The sequence below is a fragment of the Homo sapiens genome, chromosome 12 (assembly GCF_000001405.40).
Source record: "Homo sapiens chromosome 12, GRCh38.p14 Primary Assembly".
Classification (NCBI taxonomy): domain Eukaryota; kingdom Metazoa; phylum Chordata; class Mammalia; order Primates; family Hominidae; genus Homo; species Homo sapiens.
The window spans coordinates 84,858,553-84,875,045 of NC_000012.12; the positions used below are offsets into that span (position 1 = coordinate 84,858,553).

The following is a 16,493-nucleotide window of genomic DNA, read 5'->3' on the forward strand; positions in this document are numbered from 1 at the left end:
GGTCTCACTGGCAAAGAAGAGAAAATGGAAAAAAAAATGAATAGCATTTATACTCTAATTATAATGGTGTCTTGTATAAAGTACTTAGAATAAGTTAGAATTTTAGTTAATAGAACCTGAGTGAATAAATCAATAAATAAGTGTACAGCTGAAGAACTGACTGCATGAAGGAAGCAAAAAGAAGAGAACTTTGTTCATTTTTCTTTAACTTCTTTGGCCAGATTTCCTTATCTGCCAAGTGAAACCATAATAAGGGTTTTAAATTCTATTTCAATTCAAAAATAAGATTCCTGCATTGTTCATATTACTCAGTGAATAGAAGGATGGAGAAATAATTCCTAGTGCAAGGCAGGTACCCGACTGTAGATTATATCAAAAGGAAATGAAATCAGCACTTCATAGAAAGATCTGTGCTCCCACGTGCATTGCAGCATTATTCATAATAGCCAAGATATGGAAACAATTTAAGTGTCAAGCAATGGAAGAATGAATAAAGAAATTGTGACATATATACACAATGGAATATTATACCATTTGTGAAAGCATGGATAAACTTGGAGGACATTATGCTAAGTGAAGTAAGCCAGACAGAGAAAGAAATATAGCATGACCTCACTTATATGTAGAAATGTAAAAAAAAAAAAAAAAAAAAAATCAAGTATATGGAAACAGAGAGTAGAACAGTTGATTACCAGGAGCGGGAAGAAGGTGAAAATGGGGAGAAGTAGGTCAAAAGATTCAAAGTTACATAGAATGAATAACTCTAGAGGTCTCATGTAAAACATGAAAATAATAGTTAATAATATTGCATTGAATATTGAAAAAATTGCTAAAAGAATACATTTTAGGTGCACTTGCCACCAGAAAATGTAACTATGGGAGATGATGGACAAGTTAATCACTGCAACTATGTTTATGTATATCAAAACAGCATATTGTACACCTTAGATATATACTTTATTTGCTTTCACTATATTTATATACATCAAAACAGCATGTTGTACACCTTAGATGTATACTTTTTTTTTTAAGAGCCCCCATGGCAAGAGAGTGAGAGAAGAAGAATGGTGCTATTTGGCAATACATTATTGTGTTACGGTTAAAGTCTGGCAGGTTAAGTATTAAAGATTAGGGTACCATATAAAAATATTGCCTCAACACAAAAATAAACAAAATTTTTATTAGTTCAGCCTCTGAAATAAGGAAGCACATTTGTGAATATTCATACATAAAATGCTGTCCAAAATAAATTATTCACAGAAATAGGTAAGATATAGAAGAGAGAATATAGAATGCTGTCATTTATGTAATATATTGTATTTCCAGAAGGATACAGAAGAAACTGGCAATGGTGATTGCCTTTAAAGATGGAGAATGGATGGCCAGGAGAAATGTTGGATGAGAACTTACTTCACACTGAATTGTCATAATTTTTTAGTTTTGTATAATGTGCATATACTGCCTATTTATAAAATATTAAACATTTTAAAGGGATACAAACACAATATTCATGAATATATTTTAAAAGACTAAAAATTTATGCACCAGTGGATTTAATACTTTAAATGCTGTGATACCATTTATTAACATCTATCTATAGCAGAGCGAGAATACTGGCTGAAATAAATCAATTGATATGGCATGTGTATTACCTCACTTATTTTGCTGCTATATCCATCATTGTTTTAAAAATGTAACTGATCTGGTGGTAGGATAAATGAAAGATTTTTAACTAGAGGACACTCAGTGAGGTTCCTCTGCTCTATCCAATTTCATATATACAACAGTTTTATTTAAAAATCATAGTCTTTTATACTTTGCAGACAATATTGAATCAGCAAGCAGTCAATTGTACACATGGTTTCTTGGGAGGCTGTAAGTACTTTTTCAAGAATCATAAGACTACATAAGAACACCATTGAACCATAATACTCTATTTTTCCTTAGACTCTGAAGCGGTGGTAACTCTATTCAATTAATGTAATTCATCCCACTTGGAATGTGATGTTTAGTTATTATGAAATGTCTAAGTGCTGACTGAAATGAAAGACAATCCAGTTCAGGTGATACAAAGAAAATCAATGTGAAAAACAAACATCATTTTTAAACTTTGTTTATTTGTAGATTAAAATGTAATGCATTACAATTTTAACAATCACTTAAAAATGATTTATATTTGCATAAAACAGAAGCAAAACAGAAATATATTAATTAAAATGCCATCTTGCTTCAAGTTTTCAAATTAGTACTTTAAGTACTTAAATGCATTGCAAGTATATTGTATAAATATACTATGAATAATCTTGAAACCACAATAAATATCAAGTAGGTTTTTAGGCACACGGCATAAGAAAAATGCAGAATCTGCATAATTCTTGAGAGTGCTGAGTAACTCACTCTTAGTTCATTTTCACACATATATTTTACACAAAATATACAGCCATCACTCACATGATTCTCAGTCACCTCTGAATCTCATCTTTCATCCCAGCGTTAGTGCCTTCTCATGCTTTGATTGCTATTGCTCTATACAGCTATTACATAAGAAAATATTTTGCAGTTTTCTTCAACTAATTGCCTAAGAAGGTGTCAATGCTACCAAAATCAATACAGCCTATCTACATAATATATTCATAGAAATGTGCTGAGAGGCACCCACTTACAGAACTGCTCATTGTGACACTGGAAGTTACCCTGAAGGCAAACTTATAAATTTTAATGTATACCATTTTTAATTGTCAACACTACTAAACCCAGAAATTATTAGAAACTGAGGTAATACCATTTTTTTAAGAGATAGAAATATTTGAAAATACACCAAAGGTACTTAAAAAAAAATCCTGGCAAACATGTACCTCAGCCCTCCTAAGATTTGTCTGCAATCCTTTCTGCACAAATGTAAACCAAAGAATCCAAAAGAATGCTCAAGTTGAACTGACATATACTGTTAGGATTAAAGATCACAGCCACGGAACACCTGAGATTGCCCTCTGATAAGTGAAGCCTAATGCTTCTCCTACTAGGGCCAATGTTCATTGGTAAAAATGAACCAAATAAAACCCACTGACTTTTCCCCCAGCTACAAATCAGATTCTGGCATATCTGGCATAATATCTGCCATCAAGTACCCTATTCCATACCGTCCATTGGGAGCAGTATCCAGAGTTGGGGATCCACTCTGTTTTCGATAAATATTTTTACCAAAATTTGGAGATGGCATCTCGCTCGGTATTTTTCCGTGAATGAGGCTTGTATCATCGCCCTCTAAGTTCACAGGCTCTTTCAGGACCCTTCCTCTCTTATAGGTCACAGATGCTAAATTACCAGAACTATCATCTATAAGGTTGAAGCGACGAACAATGAAAACTACAGGGACTGGGAGTATTGCAAAGACAACCAGAGAGACACAAACAACCAGTCCCCATGTTGGATAGCTCAGAAATTCTTCAGATGCCTGTTAAAGAAGAAAATAATAATTATTAGTAATCTATCTTTCTTTGCACATACATAAAATATTGTACTTGCTTCAAGTTTGTAAGCAAAGAATCTGGGCTGGCTTTGTGACTTGCTTTGACCAATAGAAAGCAGTAGAAGTGACACTCAGCAACTTCCAAGACTAGGCCTCAAAGGCCTTCCAATTTCTGCTTCTTTCTTAGAATATTGCCCTGAATATGATGCTTGGAAACGTTATAAGTGAAAGACCACCTAAAGAGAGAGCCCAGCTCTCCTCCAAGCTGAATGCAACTGCTTGAGTTAGCCCAGGCAAGAAAAGAAGAAGAACTGCTCAGCTCAGCCACAGAACTGTAAGAAATAATAAATCAATGTCGCTCTTAGCCATTAAATTTCAGGGTAGTTTGTTACTAAGCAATAGATACCTCTTAAATGTGTCATATATCTTTCTAAAATCTGGAAACCAAACTTTTGAAGCACATCTGGCCCCAAGGGTTTTGGTGAGAGAACGGATTTGTTTATGCCTCAGTCTAGAATTATTAACCATAGGATAGTTAAAGGTCAGAAGTATCTCTGAAAATAAGCACTTTTATTTTATAACAGCTGACATATACCTAATGATTTCATTATTATTCAGCTTGAGAATAGAAATTGAAATAGTTATTGCTAATATAAAAATTATAACAGAACTTTACTTCAAAATTTACTTATTTTAAATTGTACTTTGCTAATATATATTTTTCATCATTACATAGAATCTGGGATACAATTTTTATTTATTTATTTGTTTATTGATTGATTGAGTGATTGATAGTGACTTGCTTTGTCACACAGGCTGGAGTGCAGTGGTAATCATAACTCACTTTAACCTTCAACTCCTAGGCTCAAGCTATCCTTCAGCCTCAGCCTGACGAGTAGCTAGGACTATAGCCGTGTGCTACCATGCCCAGCTAATTTTTTTCATCTTTTGTAGAGACAGGGATTCTCTGTGTTGCACAGGCTGCTCTCAAGCTGCTGGCCTCAAGTGATGCTTTTGCCTTGGCCTCCAAAAGTGTTGGGATTATAGGTATGAGTCACTGCACCTGGCCTGGGATACAACTTCATAAATTCATATATTAAAATATTTCTAGAGTTTTGATTAATATGTTTTCTAGAGTCAAAGGCCCAATAATTATTGGTTCATCAGTGTTAAGATGGATATATCTGCTTTAATAAGGACAAGGTTAGTGCTTCACATGTGTTGAAAACATCCACAATGTATTTAAAAAATCACATATGCTCGGGGCAGAGCACAAACGTAAATCTCATATCCTTGCATAAAAGCTATGCCATTCATTAAACAGCAAAAAATACTGTGATGGAGACAAAAGAAAAAGCCCTCTAAAAAAGCTTTTTATATATCTTTTAAAAATGTAATTCCCTTATTTTGTATTTACCTTATCTTCAATCCATGCGTTATAGCCAGGAGGACTTAATCCCATATTCACAACACTAGCTATTAGCAATGATAATAGCATTAGAGGAGAAATATATTTCCACATATAGTAGTAATATCTGCTGGGAGCAAAGCCCAGCATATCTTTTAGGTCTTCCATAAACCTGAATAAAAAGAAAGTATTTAATTATTCCTTAATTTAATATTGCTAAACCTTAAAAAATGTGCATTATATTAATGGTCTGACAAACATTTACCATTGATACCCTATGACATTTTATACTGTATCAAAGTTCCTCTTGGAAGATGACTATAAAGTAAAATGAAGCCAGGTAAGTACTATAATTTTTATTTAGGGAAAGCTCTCTTAAGCCAATTACTGATTTCTCCTTCTACTGATAACTTTCTATTCTATAAACAAAATATTTTCAGTATATTAAAAATTTCTTGTCTCTTTTTTAGTAATACAAGTAATAATTACAAAAAGGAATTATTTAGAAATTATTTCTTTTAGTAATTACTGCTTAAATATTATTAAGAAATATTAAGTAATTATATATTAAGGAATTATTACTATGCTATTAATACTATTCTATCAAGGAATTATTACTTTTAGTAATAATTACTTATTAGTAAATAATTTTACTAATTACTACTTTTCCTAATAATTTTACTATTACTTTAGTAATAATTAGTAAAAGTAATAATTCCTTAATATCACAGCATTAAAAGCATAATAATAATTCCTTAATATCATCAAATATACCTAATCAATGTTATATTTTCTGAACTCTTCTTTTTACATTCCGAATTTCTAAAAAGGTCTACATATAATAACTAATTGTTATGAATTGTTATGTCTCTTGAGTCCATTCTTTCTTTCTTTTTTTTTTTTTTTTTTGAGACAGAGTCTCACCTGTTGCCCAGGCTGGAGTACAGTGGCACAATCTCGACTCACTGCAACCTCATCTTCCCAGGTTCAAGCAATTCTCCTGCCTCAGCCTCCCGAGTAGCTGGGATTACAGGCGACCACCATCACGCCCGGCTGATTTTTGTATTTTTAGTAGAGATGGCGTTTCACCATGTTGGTCAGACTGCTCTCGATCTCCTGACCTCAAGTGATCTGCCCACCTTGACCTCCCAAAGTGTTGGGATTACAGGCTTGAGCCACCACACCTGGCCCAGTCTTAATCTCTATGTTTCTCTTCCCTTTTTCATTTCTTCCAAGTTGCTCCAGAATCTTAAAGGACATCTTCAATGTAAGAATTCTACACCTGCCCTTTAGAAAAAATATGAACTTTGAAGACCAAGAGACCTCATTTCAGATCACAGTTCTGTGTTCTTTTGATGTATATCTTAATCTCTCTAAGCTTCATTTTTGGTGTTTTCCAAAAATATAATATAATACCCACCTTTGAGGGTTATTACTAGAACCATAAACAATGGATGCTTAGCATACTACCTCACATATGGTACAAAATCGACAGATGCATCTATTAGTAGTAGTATTTTTTCTTCTGTTGTTATAAATAGTGTTATTCAGGAACACTAGCATTAAAAAGAGAGATTCTTTAGTAAGTCTATCATGAATAACGAACTGTCTAAATGGAAATCTAAATTACAAATGTATTTATTTACAGATCAGTCCAAAAACAATATCAAATTCCATCATGGTACAGGTTATGAGTTTTGAGTAGCCTAGTAAAGCTTAGAGAAACCTGGCCTTGAAATGAAGGTCAAGGTTACAGTACTGGCTCTACAGCTAACATATTGTATCCTCCTGTAAAAGAAGGGGCAGTTTCCCATCTGTAAGATATGGATCATGTTAGTTAACAAGGAGTATTTTTTGATTACACACTTTATTTTTTAAGAGCAATTTTAGGTTCACAGCAAAATTGAGCTGAAAGTAGAGAGATTTCCCATATAGCTCCTACCAATATATGTGCATAACCTCCTCCATTATCAGCAACCCCCACGAGAGTGGAATGTTGGTTACAATTGATGAACCTACATAAGTTAACACATCATTATTACCTAGAGCCCACAGTTTACACTGGAATTCACTGTTTGTGTAGTACATTCTCTGGATTTGGACAAATGTATAATGACGTGTGTCCACCATTACAGTGTCATACAGAGTAGTTTCACTGCCCTAAACATTCTGTGCTCAGCGTATACATCCCTGGATCTGGCCCAACCCCTGTTAACTGCTGATGTTTTTACTGTTTCCATAGTTTTACCTTTTCCATATTATAATATAGGGGAATCTTACAATATGTAACCTTTTCATATGTGACTTTTTTCACTAAGTAATGTGCATTAAAATTTCCTCTGTGTCTTTTCATGGATTGAATAATATTTCATTGTCTGGATGTATGACAATTTATCCATTTACCTACTAAAGGATATCTTGTTTGCCTCCAAGTTTGGGCAATTATGAATATAGTTGCTATAAACACCCACGTGCAGAATTTTAAGTGGGCATAAGTTTTCAACTCCTTTGGGTAAATACCAAGTAGCATGATTGCTGGATTATACACTAAGAGCTATTACTACTATTATTATACAGTACATGATTATTAAATGTAAGTTCTCCTAAGCTTCCTGACCTGGAGCTTTTGGCAACCACAAAAAACATTCTCTAAGCTTTGTTATAAAGCTCATTCAATACCCACAATATTCTTTATGCTGCTTAAAAGGACTCTGGCCTTCACTTAAGGTGCATGCATTACTACTTTACATAGGGCTGTAATGAGCTTGGTGATCTTACTACCTCTCAGTCCATGTATGTGATTAGAGACAGTGACTATAAAAAGTATTGGACAAATCCTCCAAAGGTCTTTTTCCCTTGAGAGAACTCTGGTGCTTCACATCATTTCAAATACATACACTTTTCACATCAGTGTACCTGAATGGTGTGAAAAGTATGTGTATTTGATATGAATTTATGAATAAATAGTGAATTTATTCATTATTTATGCGTATAGTGAATTTAAGTAATGACTCTATATAAAAATAATGTTTCTGTGCAGCAAATGACATATACATCTCAGACCTGGGAAAATATCATTTCCCAATATTGTCCTGCTATATAAGGCATTATGACACATGCACTCCTCTTATAAATCAATTTAGCAATATAATTAGGAGATAAGCTTTAGAGTTAAACAGAAATGGACATGAGTCCCAGGTCTGCTGCTGTCCAGGTGGGTGACAGGCAAGTCACAGGGTGTCTCTCTAAGCTTGATTTTCCTTATCTGTGAAATGTAGATAACAATAAAGAACTCAAAAGAAACTAAGGTTCTTGGAACTCTGCCAATACTTACTAAATCCTGAAAGTTAGCTATTTGATAACCAGGACCAAATCAAAGATCTAAAATTCTACATACTATTACATCCTATATAATTCTATTTGCCCAACAGGGAAATGTAATTTACCAAAACTGTTGAATCAGTGAGAGCCTGCAAAAGGTTTGATTTTTTAAAGAATTGTTCCCTCTATTCATTTATTTCCTCTTCTAAATGAAATGAACATTGATAATTGATGTTTTCAAACTAGAGATTAAAAGTGAATACATAAAAGCAAATATACTTACTTATCTATGCCATAAACAAAGCATACAGCAATATTCTCCAAAATGACTACAATTAGCAGAGGCAGTGTAGCAGAATAATCATCAAACATTGTAACAAAGTAATTTCCAGAGCGTTGCACAAATATCAGGCCAATACAAAATGCCAGAAGACAACAGATAACTAGACAAAAGAAATAAATGAAAAAATGAGACTCTATTCAGAGACAAGGCCTTTAAACTTTATTATAAATTATTATATTCAAACTTTTAAAACTTTTATAACATGTCCATCATATAAACAGGCAATACCTTTCCTGATACATGGCATATAACCTATTAGGAATTAGGTTACCTGGGTGTAGCCTCAACATTCATACAAATTTATTCTAAGACAGTAATTCATCTCCCTGAGCCCGTGGAAACTCATTTACCAAGTACAATAATAAATGAGTCAAAGTTTAGAGAAAAATTTAAAAGTATAAATTTCCATACTCTATTCGTATAATTAATAGCAAAGTGACTTCTTCAGGCACCAAATATTTATAGGTCATTTATTCATTTAATAATGTTCTACAGTGTTGAAATATAGATGAGATTTTTGAATTAATAATGAGACTAATATTGCTTATATTATTATGAAATATACATATTATATATTTGATTGAAATATGGTTACTTTTCAAGCATAAGTGGAAAAATCTGACCAGACTTAACCTCAGCAACAATCCACATTTATATCTTTATCTTGCCTGAACAGATTAGTTTGGAAACAAATTATAATGGAGTTGAGCAATCTGATCATCCACATAACATCTAAGAAAAATCATCTAAAAAGAGTTTCCCCAGTAATAGCTAAGAAACAGATGCATAAATTTCTGACCAGCTACTACTTAGAAAAGTTTTTGAAATTCATATAATATTCCCATATTTTTGTTAGACTCTGTTCTTTTGTGCTCATTAGCAGAGAAGCCTCCAAAGGTAAAAGATGACTGCATTCCATTTCTCAACCACATTTCGGCAGAGGTGAGTAAACTTGAAAGAAGTAGAGTAGTAATGGCAGCTAAGGAAAAAAGACATCCACGGAGTCAATCATATGAACACTCCCTAACAATTTCAGCAAGTATGTGTGACATGAAGAAATTACCTCCATCTCTTAAGTACTATACTAGTGCTGTGAGTTACATCTTACAGAAATGAATGTCATATGTAAACATATAATGTAGAATAAGAAAAGTAACATTTACTTGGATTCTACTGCATATTAAATTTAAATGCTTATCACAGTATAAAATAATATTGCATTCTCTTACTTAATTTTTATGACATCCCAGTTGAACAATGTATTACTTTGTTTACAGATGAGAGAAATGATCCTGAAGAACGTTAAGTAATGTGCTTAAATTCTCAAGCTGGAAGTAGCAGAGTTTGGATCTGCACCCAAATCTGTCTGCCTCAACAGCCTGTGTCACTTTCACTATCTCCTAATTACACCCCAGTATGAGGCAAATATAAAAAAGTGCATTATAAGTGGTACAGACAGTAAGAGTTTTGCTGGAGATGTGAGGGAAAAAGATAATGAGTAATTCATTTGCCTAAATCTTACTGCATAAAGAAGTAAACACACCTACCAAAGAAAATGAGGTAATATTTCATTGAGGTCAAACACGACTACGATTTGAAGTATCAGTATGATCCCAAAAAACAAGAAGTGGGAAAGAGGGTACATTCCCCTTTGCTCTTTCCAAATAAGTCTTCCAGAAGGTCTTAGAAAATACTACTTTGTGTGATTTTCCCTTTACACTGTTACTTTTTCCTTAACCTGCAAGCCTTTTACTACAGGAGGGGACGGTTTGGATATGGCGAGCAAGGATAAGAATACAAAAATGACTTTAGCCTGCATGTCAGGCAGGATATGGATTTTCATATTAAGTGGAAATCACTTTCTTGAATAATATAAAGCAGTTTCTCATTTCTGTTCAGCTGAATTGTGGATATATAGCTATCAATATTAACAGACTGCTGAAATTAAATTGTTTTATACACGCACACACATGCACATGCACAAACACATACAGACATAATTATCAGAGCAGCAAATGATAAAGGTATATATTTGAGACTTATTTAGACATATATTATTAGTAAATTTTTTATGGCTAAGAAAGAGCTGGGCACGGTGGCTCACGCCTGTAATCCTAGCACTTTGGGAGGCCAAGGCGGGCGGATCACGAGGTCAGGAGATTGAGACCATCCTGGCTAACACGGTGAAACCCCGTCTCTATTAAAAAAAATACAAAAAATTAGCCAAGCGTGTTGGCACGCGCCTGTAGTCCCAGCTACTCGGGAGGCTGAGGCAGGAGAATGGCGTGAACCCGGGAGGCGGAGCTTGCAGTGAGCTGAGATCGCACTACTGCTGCACTCCAGCCTGGGCGACAGAGCAAGACTCCGTCTCAAAAAAAAAAAAAAAAAAAAAAAGCCTTGGGGAATTGCACACCACTGCCCAGCATTCATGGTCATCTCTACAAAATTTGTATCCAATCTTATTTTACATCACTTACCAGTATTGTTTCTGTACTCTAGTATGGTTGGCTTTCTTATTGTTGCCTTTATCTTCATTTATGTATGTTTACTAGCTATCCTCTGACCCTTGAGAAGATCCTTCCTCTTTCCAATTCAACTTTCATCTCTTTCTCTGACAGTTCCATCGTATATTTAGATGACCTAGACTCTTTTGAATTCTTATATGTAAAATCCATTATGCTATCAGTATTTTACATGCTGTAAGTCTTATCTATGCAATCTGATTTTAATTTTAGTGTTATTGTTTTTGGAGAAGAGTTTTTTATATATTTGTATATCTCTTATAATTTATTTTATATCCTTTATAGCCCTTAAATGGGAGTATGATGCATTAAACTGGTACTTTAATAATCACTTGTAAATTGGACCTATTAACTACCATCCATATTGATAAATTGTTTTATTTTCTTCTCTACTTGGAGACATTAACTACTAGTAAATTACTACTGCTGCTGTATATGAGAACGGGATTTAGGTTTATCATTTTCAGCTATGCACTTTTTGGATAGGAATATCACATCTGAACTGCTCTAATTATGATTATTTGACTTGTATAAAAATTATACACAAACAGTCCATGACTTTATTCTAGTGTCAGTCATTCTTGATAATGCATTACTATTAATGAATTATAACAATAAATATTTATTATAAATGATAAAATATAATTTATATTAAAACATCCATATTATATTATACATACAATAAAAATTATACAATTAAAATAAAATAAAATAAATTATACAATGTATACAATAATAAATAGTGATAATAGACATTAATAAAACTCAAAATATAAGACTTTCCACTTTTCATCTCTAATCTTTCACCAAGAATAAAATGGCCTGGATTTGTTCAATGAAAAGTCAAATACAAAAAACTCACCAGTAAGAATTTCTTTCCTCACTTTGAAAGTGTCCACAATAGGCGTGACAATCCCTTCAATGGTTCCAAACATACTGCCAAGGCCTAGATTGACCAGCATGAGGAAAAACATCACTGACCAGAAGGGAGATGCAGGAAAATGTGTCATCGCTTCTGTAAAGGCAATAAAAGCTAAGCCGGTCCCCTGAACAGCCTGCAAAATACACAAAATAGCAACATTAGTACAGAGTAATTATTAAACAATGGCTCTATATGTCAGTTACAATGAGGAGGAAAGATCTCTGAATAATGGCCAGGACTGCTGGAAATAGACATGCTCAAATCAGCTCTTAACCTGATAAATCATGTTGTCATTCTCAGAACCTGGATTTAATTAGATCAAGCAGATCCAAATAATGAAATTTTGCCTATAATTAATAAACAGAGTACACGATTGTGTTGTATATACTAACTATTTCACAAGGCTCCTAGAATGAAAAACTATATTAAAGAATACATAATATTTTTGGTTTTGTTAAAGCTTATGAATATGAATAGTGACATATTATCATAGATATATAAATACAAATATATATATACAACTATTTCTGGCTCATATATAAAGATTTTAAAAATTTGGTTTTACCTTACCTCAAAGTGGCTCAATCAATTGTTGTTATATATATATATACATATACACTATGAATAATAAACTTGTTTTGATTTAAGAGAAAACTGCAAATGCAAAATAAAAGGATGTGAACAGAATAAGTAGATTATAAAAAGCCAATTTTTAATTTAAAAAACCTACATCTTTACCTTTTTTTACTTCTGATATTCCTACCTCCCTGATTAAAAAAAAAAAAAAAGTTGGGCTGATATACTGGTTTGCATAATTCAGAAGACACAATGAATTTCCAGTCAAAACTAATAACAAAATGAATAAAAAGACAGATACTCCAATTGGGCAGAAAGAAATTGAATTACTTGCAAATATTAATGTGAGTTTATTTTATAAATATCACAAATATTGAGTTGTAAAATAACAACTTACTTTGTCTAACTAACTGTACCTATAACCAAACTTCAAGTTGTGTTGTCTCATAAAGACAGATGAGAATTAAAAAAAAAAACTTTGAACGGTACATTAGTAATTAATTAAATATTTCCTTAAGGAATTCAAGGTTTTTATATTAATGATGGCTTTACTTTTTAATGAATAATATCCACACATGATTCTTTATGTTAGTCTCAAGTACAGTTAACTATCTTAAAGCAAATAATTAGTGACTAATTTCTCCATTATATTTTCCTTTTCGACATACAGGAGACAGTGGCAGCCAATATAAGGACATTTATTAATGGTGACCTATTTCTTATTTAATACAACATAGCTAAGAAAAAGAACTTCATCGGTTGGGCACGGTGGCTGAGGCCTGTAATCACAGCACTTTGGGAGGCCAAGGCGGGCAGATCATGAGGTCAAGTGTTCGAGACCAGCCTGGCCAAAATGGTGAACCGCCTTCTCCCGTCTCTACTAAAATTACAAAAATTAGCCAGGTGTGGTGGTATGTGCCTGTAATCCCAGCTACTTGGGAGGCTGACCAGGAGAATTGCTTGAACCTGGGAAGCAGAGGATGCAGTGAGCCAAGATCGCACCACTGCACCCCGGCCTGGGCGACAGAGAGAGACTACGGCTCAAAAAAAAAAAAAAGAACTTGATCATGACTTGTGGAACACAACTATTAAAATTTCTATTTTAAATATTATTCATGCATCAAAGCAATCATGTATGTGTAAATGAGAGCCATAATTCTAATTCTGTATTGAAAATTATAGCAAGAAAGATTTCAGACTAATCATCATTCTATGATGAAAATCACTTTATATTCATATTTTAAATTATTGTGGCTCAATCAATGAAATAACTTTTTAAAATAAAGCAAATCTTTACCATTTAAGAAAACATATTCTCTAAAATTAAGAATGTAAATTCTGAAGGACTTATAATGCCCAGGAGCTTCTCCGGGCATTTTAAGAGCTTCTTCGGGCATTTTAAGGCCCTTTTCCTGAAGGGAGTCTGCTGGATAATGCATATTTCAAGTGAATGATAATTATTTTATTGCTCAAACATGGCTTACTAACTTTATTTAGCTCTTCTTCAATTTTACAGGAATTGAGATGAAGAGCAGGAAACTCTTCTTCTTTCACTTTTTGAATGATGTCATAAACTAAATGATAATCTTCTGCAGTAACAGTTGAAAGGTTGATATGATGGGGAATAATATCCTGACTAATGTTCCCCATTTTCAAAAATTTCATGATCGTCTCTGAATTTCTGAAAAATAAAACAACATACAAATGAGCACATAAGAGTTCTTTGGTGTATAGTTTGTGAACGACTATGCCATTATAAGCTAATGAATGAGCAATGTTCCCAACACAAAGAAATGATTAATGTTTGAGGTGATGACTATCCCATTTACCCAGATTTGACCATTATACATTGTATGTTTGTGTCGAACTATCACATGTATCTCATAAATATGTATAGCTATCATGTATCAATAAAAGTATAAATAACAAGATAAAAACTAAGAAAAAAGGCAAATGGAAATTAATATTCATACTGTGTAATGCATTTCTCATTTATGACATTTGCTTTGAAGCCCAGAACTGCAAACACCACCAATGTTGCCAGGACAGAAGTGAAAAAATTGATGAAGGACACCAGGACAGCATCAAAGTGGCAGTTGTTGTCTCTCTTGTTGTAGCTTGAAAAGGCAATGACACCACCAAATCCCAGACCTAAGGCAAAGAACACTTGAGTAGCAGCTTCTCTCCAGACCTTGGGCTCCAGCATTATTTCAAGCTGTTTAAAAATAAACATAATAGAATCAGCTACAAAATAATGTTTCAGAATAATTAATTTTTATGGAATTTACTGTTTATGGAGTATACAATGATATTTATGCATCCAAAGTTTATTTAAATCGGGAAATAATATGTTCTTAAGCATAAACATCTATTTTTAGGAAACAAATAATTATGAGTAAGAAAGTTGATCAGTCCTTTACATGGAGATTTTAAGTACATGGGGATTTTCTACTTACATGGTGGTTTTTAAATATTTTAAGAATATCAAAGGAAATATGAAATGAGAATATGAAGAAAAATTAATTATCCTCAATCATTTCCCATTATGTCTTTTTTTCTTTCCATAGCAAAACAGGTCAATTACCAATAAAAGTTAATAGTTGCTTCACTAACACTCCATGTTTTGTGTTTTCTGCTGTTAATCTAATGGTCGAAGCAGAAAACAATTATAAACTTCGCAGAGTTGAACTATTTGTACTTTGCATATTCACATATGTATTCTTCATTCATTCAAAAGTCTGCTAAAAGATTTTTCTTTGAAAATTGAAGAAATTCACCTATATTGTCTATAAGATACTCTTTCAGATCCAAAGTTCTGACATTGAACAGATATTAAATATTGAACAGATATTTCATGTAGTTGTGCTTTATGTCTTAGATAATTATCACTGTATATAATCAAAACTTAAATGAAACAATTCAGATCAGCCAAGTGTGGCCCAGATCTTAATAAACAGTTCCTTTTGATTTCAGTAATAATAGCGTTTAAATTGGCATTTTATCTCTTTTTGCCATTACAATCAAATTGCCTTTATTGAGAGCAATGTCAAACATGACTAAGAACACGAATTCTACAGAGAGTTTCAGATTCTGATTCTGCCATTTAGTAATTTTAAAATAGTGCAAACAATGGCAAATGGCGTGTCCTCTCTGAGTTTCAGCTTCTTCAGAAAGATCAGAATAATAAGAAGTGTACCACTTACCACGGTGCCTACCACACTCTAAAAATGCTCAGTAACCGATAACATAGATGAGCTATAGCGGCATACACACCGGTAAGCATTTTATATGGTTTAACTCATTTAGTACTCACAACAACCCACGAAGTTGTTGCCACTATTAACTGATTCTTAGGAAGGTTATGTAACTTGCCTAAGTTTACACAGCAGCTCTGAGGTAGAGATGAAATAAGAACATAGGTAGATTCCAAAATCCATATTCTCTCAAACAATAGGATGTATTGCTTCAACTAATTTTGGTTATTAAAATCTATGAAATATGCTTATTAAACATAATCATGATTATCTTCATAATTTATGAACAATTAACATATGCACATTGTTTACTGACCATTGCTACATCATATTCTATTAAAATACACTCAACTGTCTATCTCTGCTTTAGCCACTAGATGGCAGAAAAGACCTATTAACTAAAGACATTACCAGCAGCCCAGTTTCTGAACTAAATCTCCACTCACTGTTTCACAAGTATTTGATGTGCTTATGTACTTTCTCCCCTACATAAACAATGTAAAATTTTTAAAAATTACAATTACTTCTCATATTGAGTATCACATCCTACAGAAATGTAATAGAGTCTTATCAACACTCAATGAAAAGTTAGCTGAAGGAAAACTAACATTTTAATAGTGATCCCTAGTCTAGGTCAGAAATGTTAATTCATGCTGCAGTTTTCAGTACTGGGGCCAT

The 16,493-nt window shown here is 33.1% G+C and overlaps 1 protein-coding gene across 3 annotated transcripts in view; it reads right to left on the reverse strand.

Annotated features, from left to right (window-relative positions):
• Positions 1-938: 938 nt before the first annotated feature.
• Positions 939-16,493, reverse strand: part of SLC6A15 (solute carrier family 6 member 15) — a 53,309-nt gene continuing 37,754 nt past the window's right edge. For 2 of the 3 annotated variants that reach the window (NM_001146335.3, NM_182767.6), the window contains 6 exons: positions 14,535-14,776; positions 14,050-14,242; positions 11,926-12,118; positions 8,482-8,641; positions 4,887-5,049; positions 939-3,454 (listed from right to left, as the gene is read on the reverse strand). In NM_001146335.3, the coding sequence (NP_001139807.1) occupies positions 3,080-3,454; positions 4,887-5,049; positions 8,482-8,641; positions 11,926-12,118; positions 14,050-14,242; positions 14,535-14,776 (1,326 nt within the window). In that variant the 3' untranslated portion in view covers positions 939-3,079. Of the gene's footprint in view, positions 3,455-4,886; positions 5,050-8,481; positions 8,642-8,677; positions 9,521-11,925; positions 12,119-14,049; positions 14,243-14,534; positions 14,777-16,493 lie in introns of those variants that run through there. The other variant, XM_011538525.4, reaches the window with a different exon arrangement.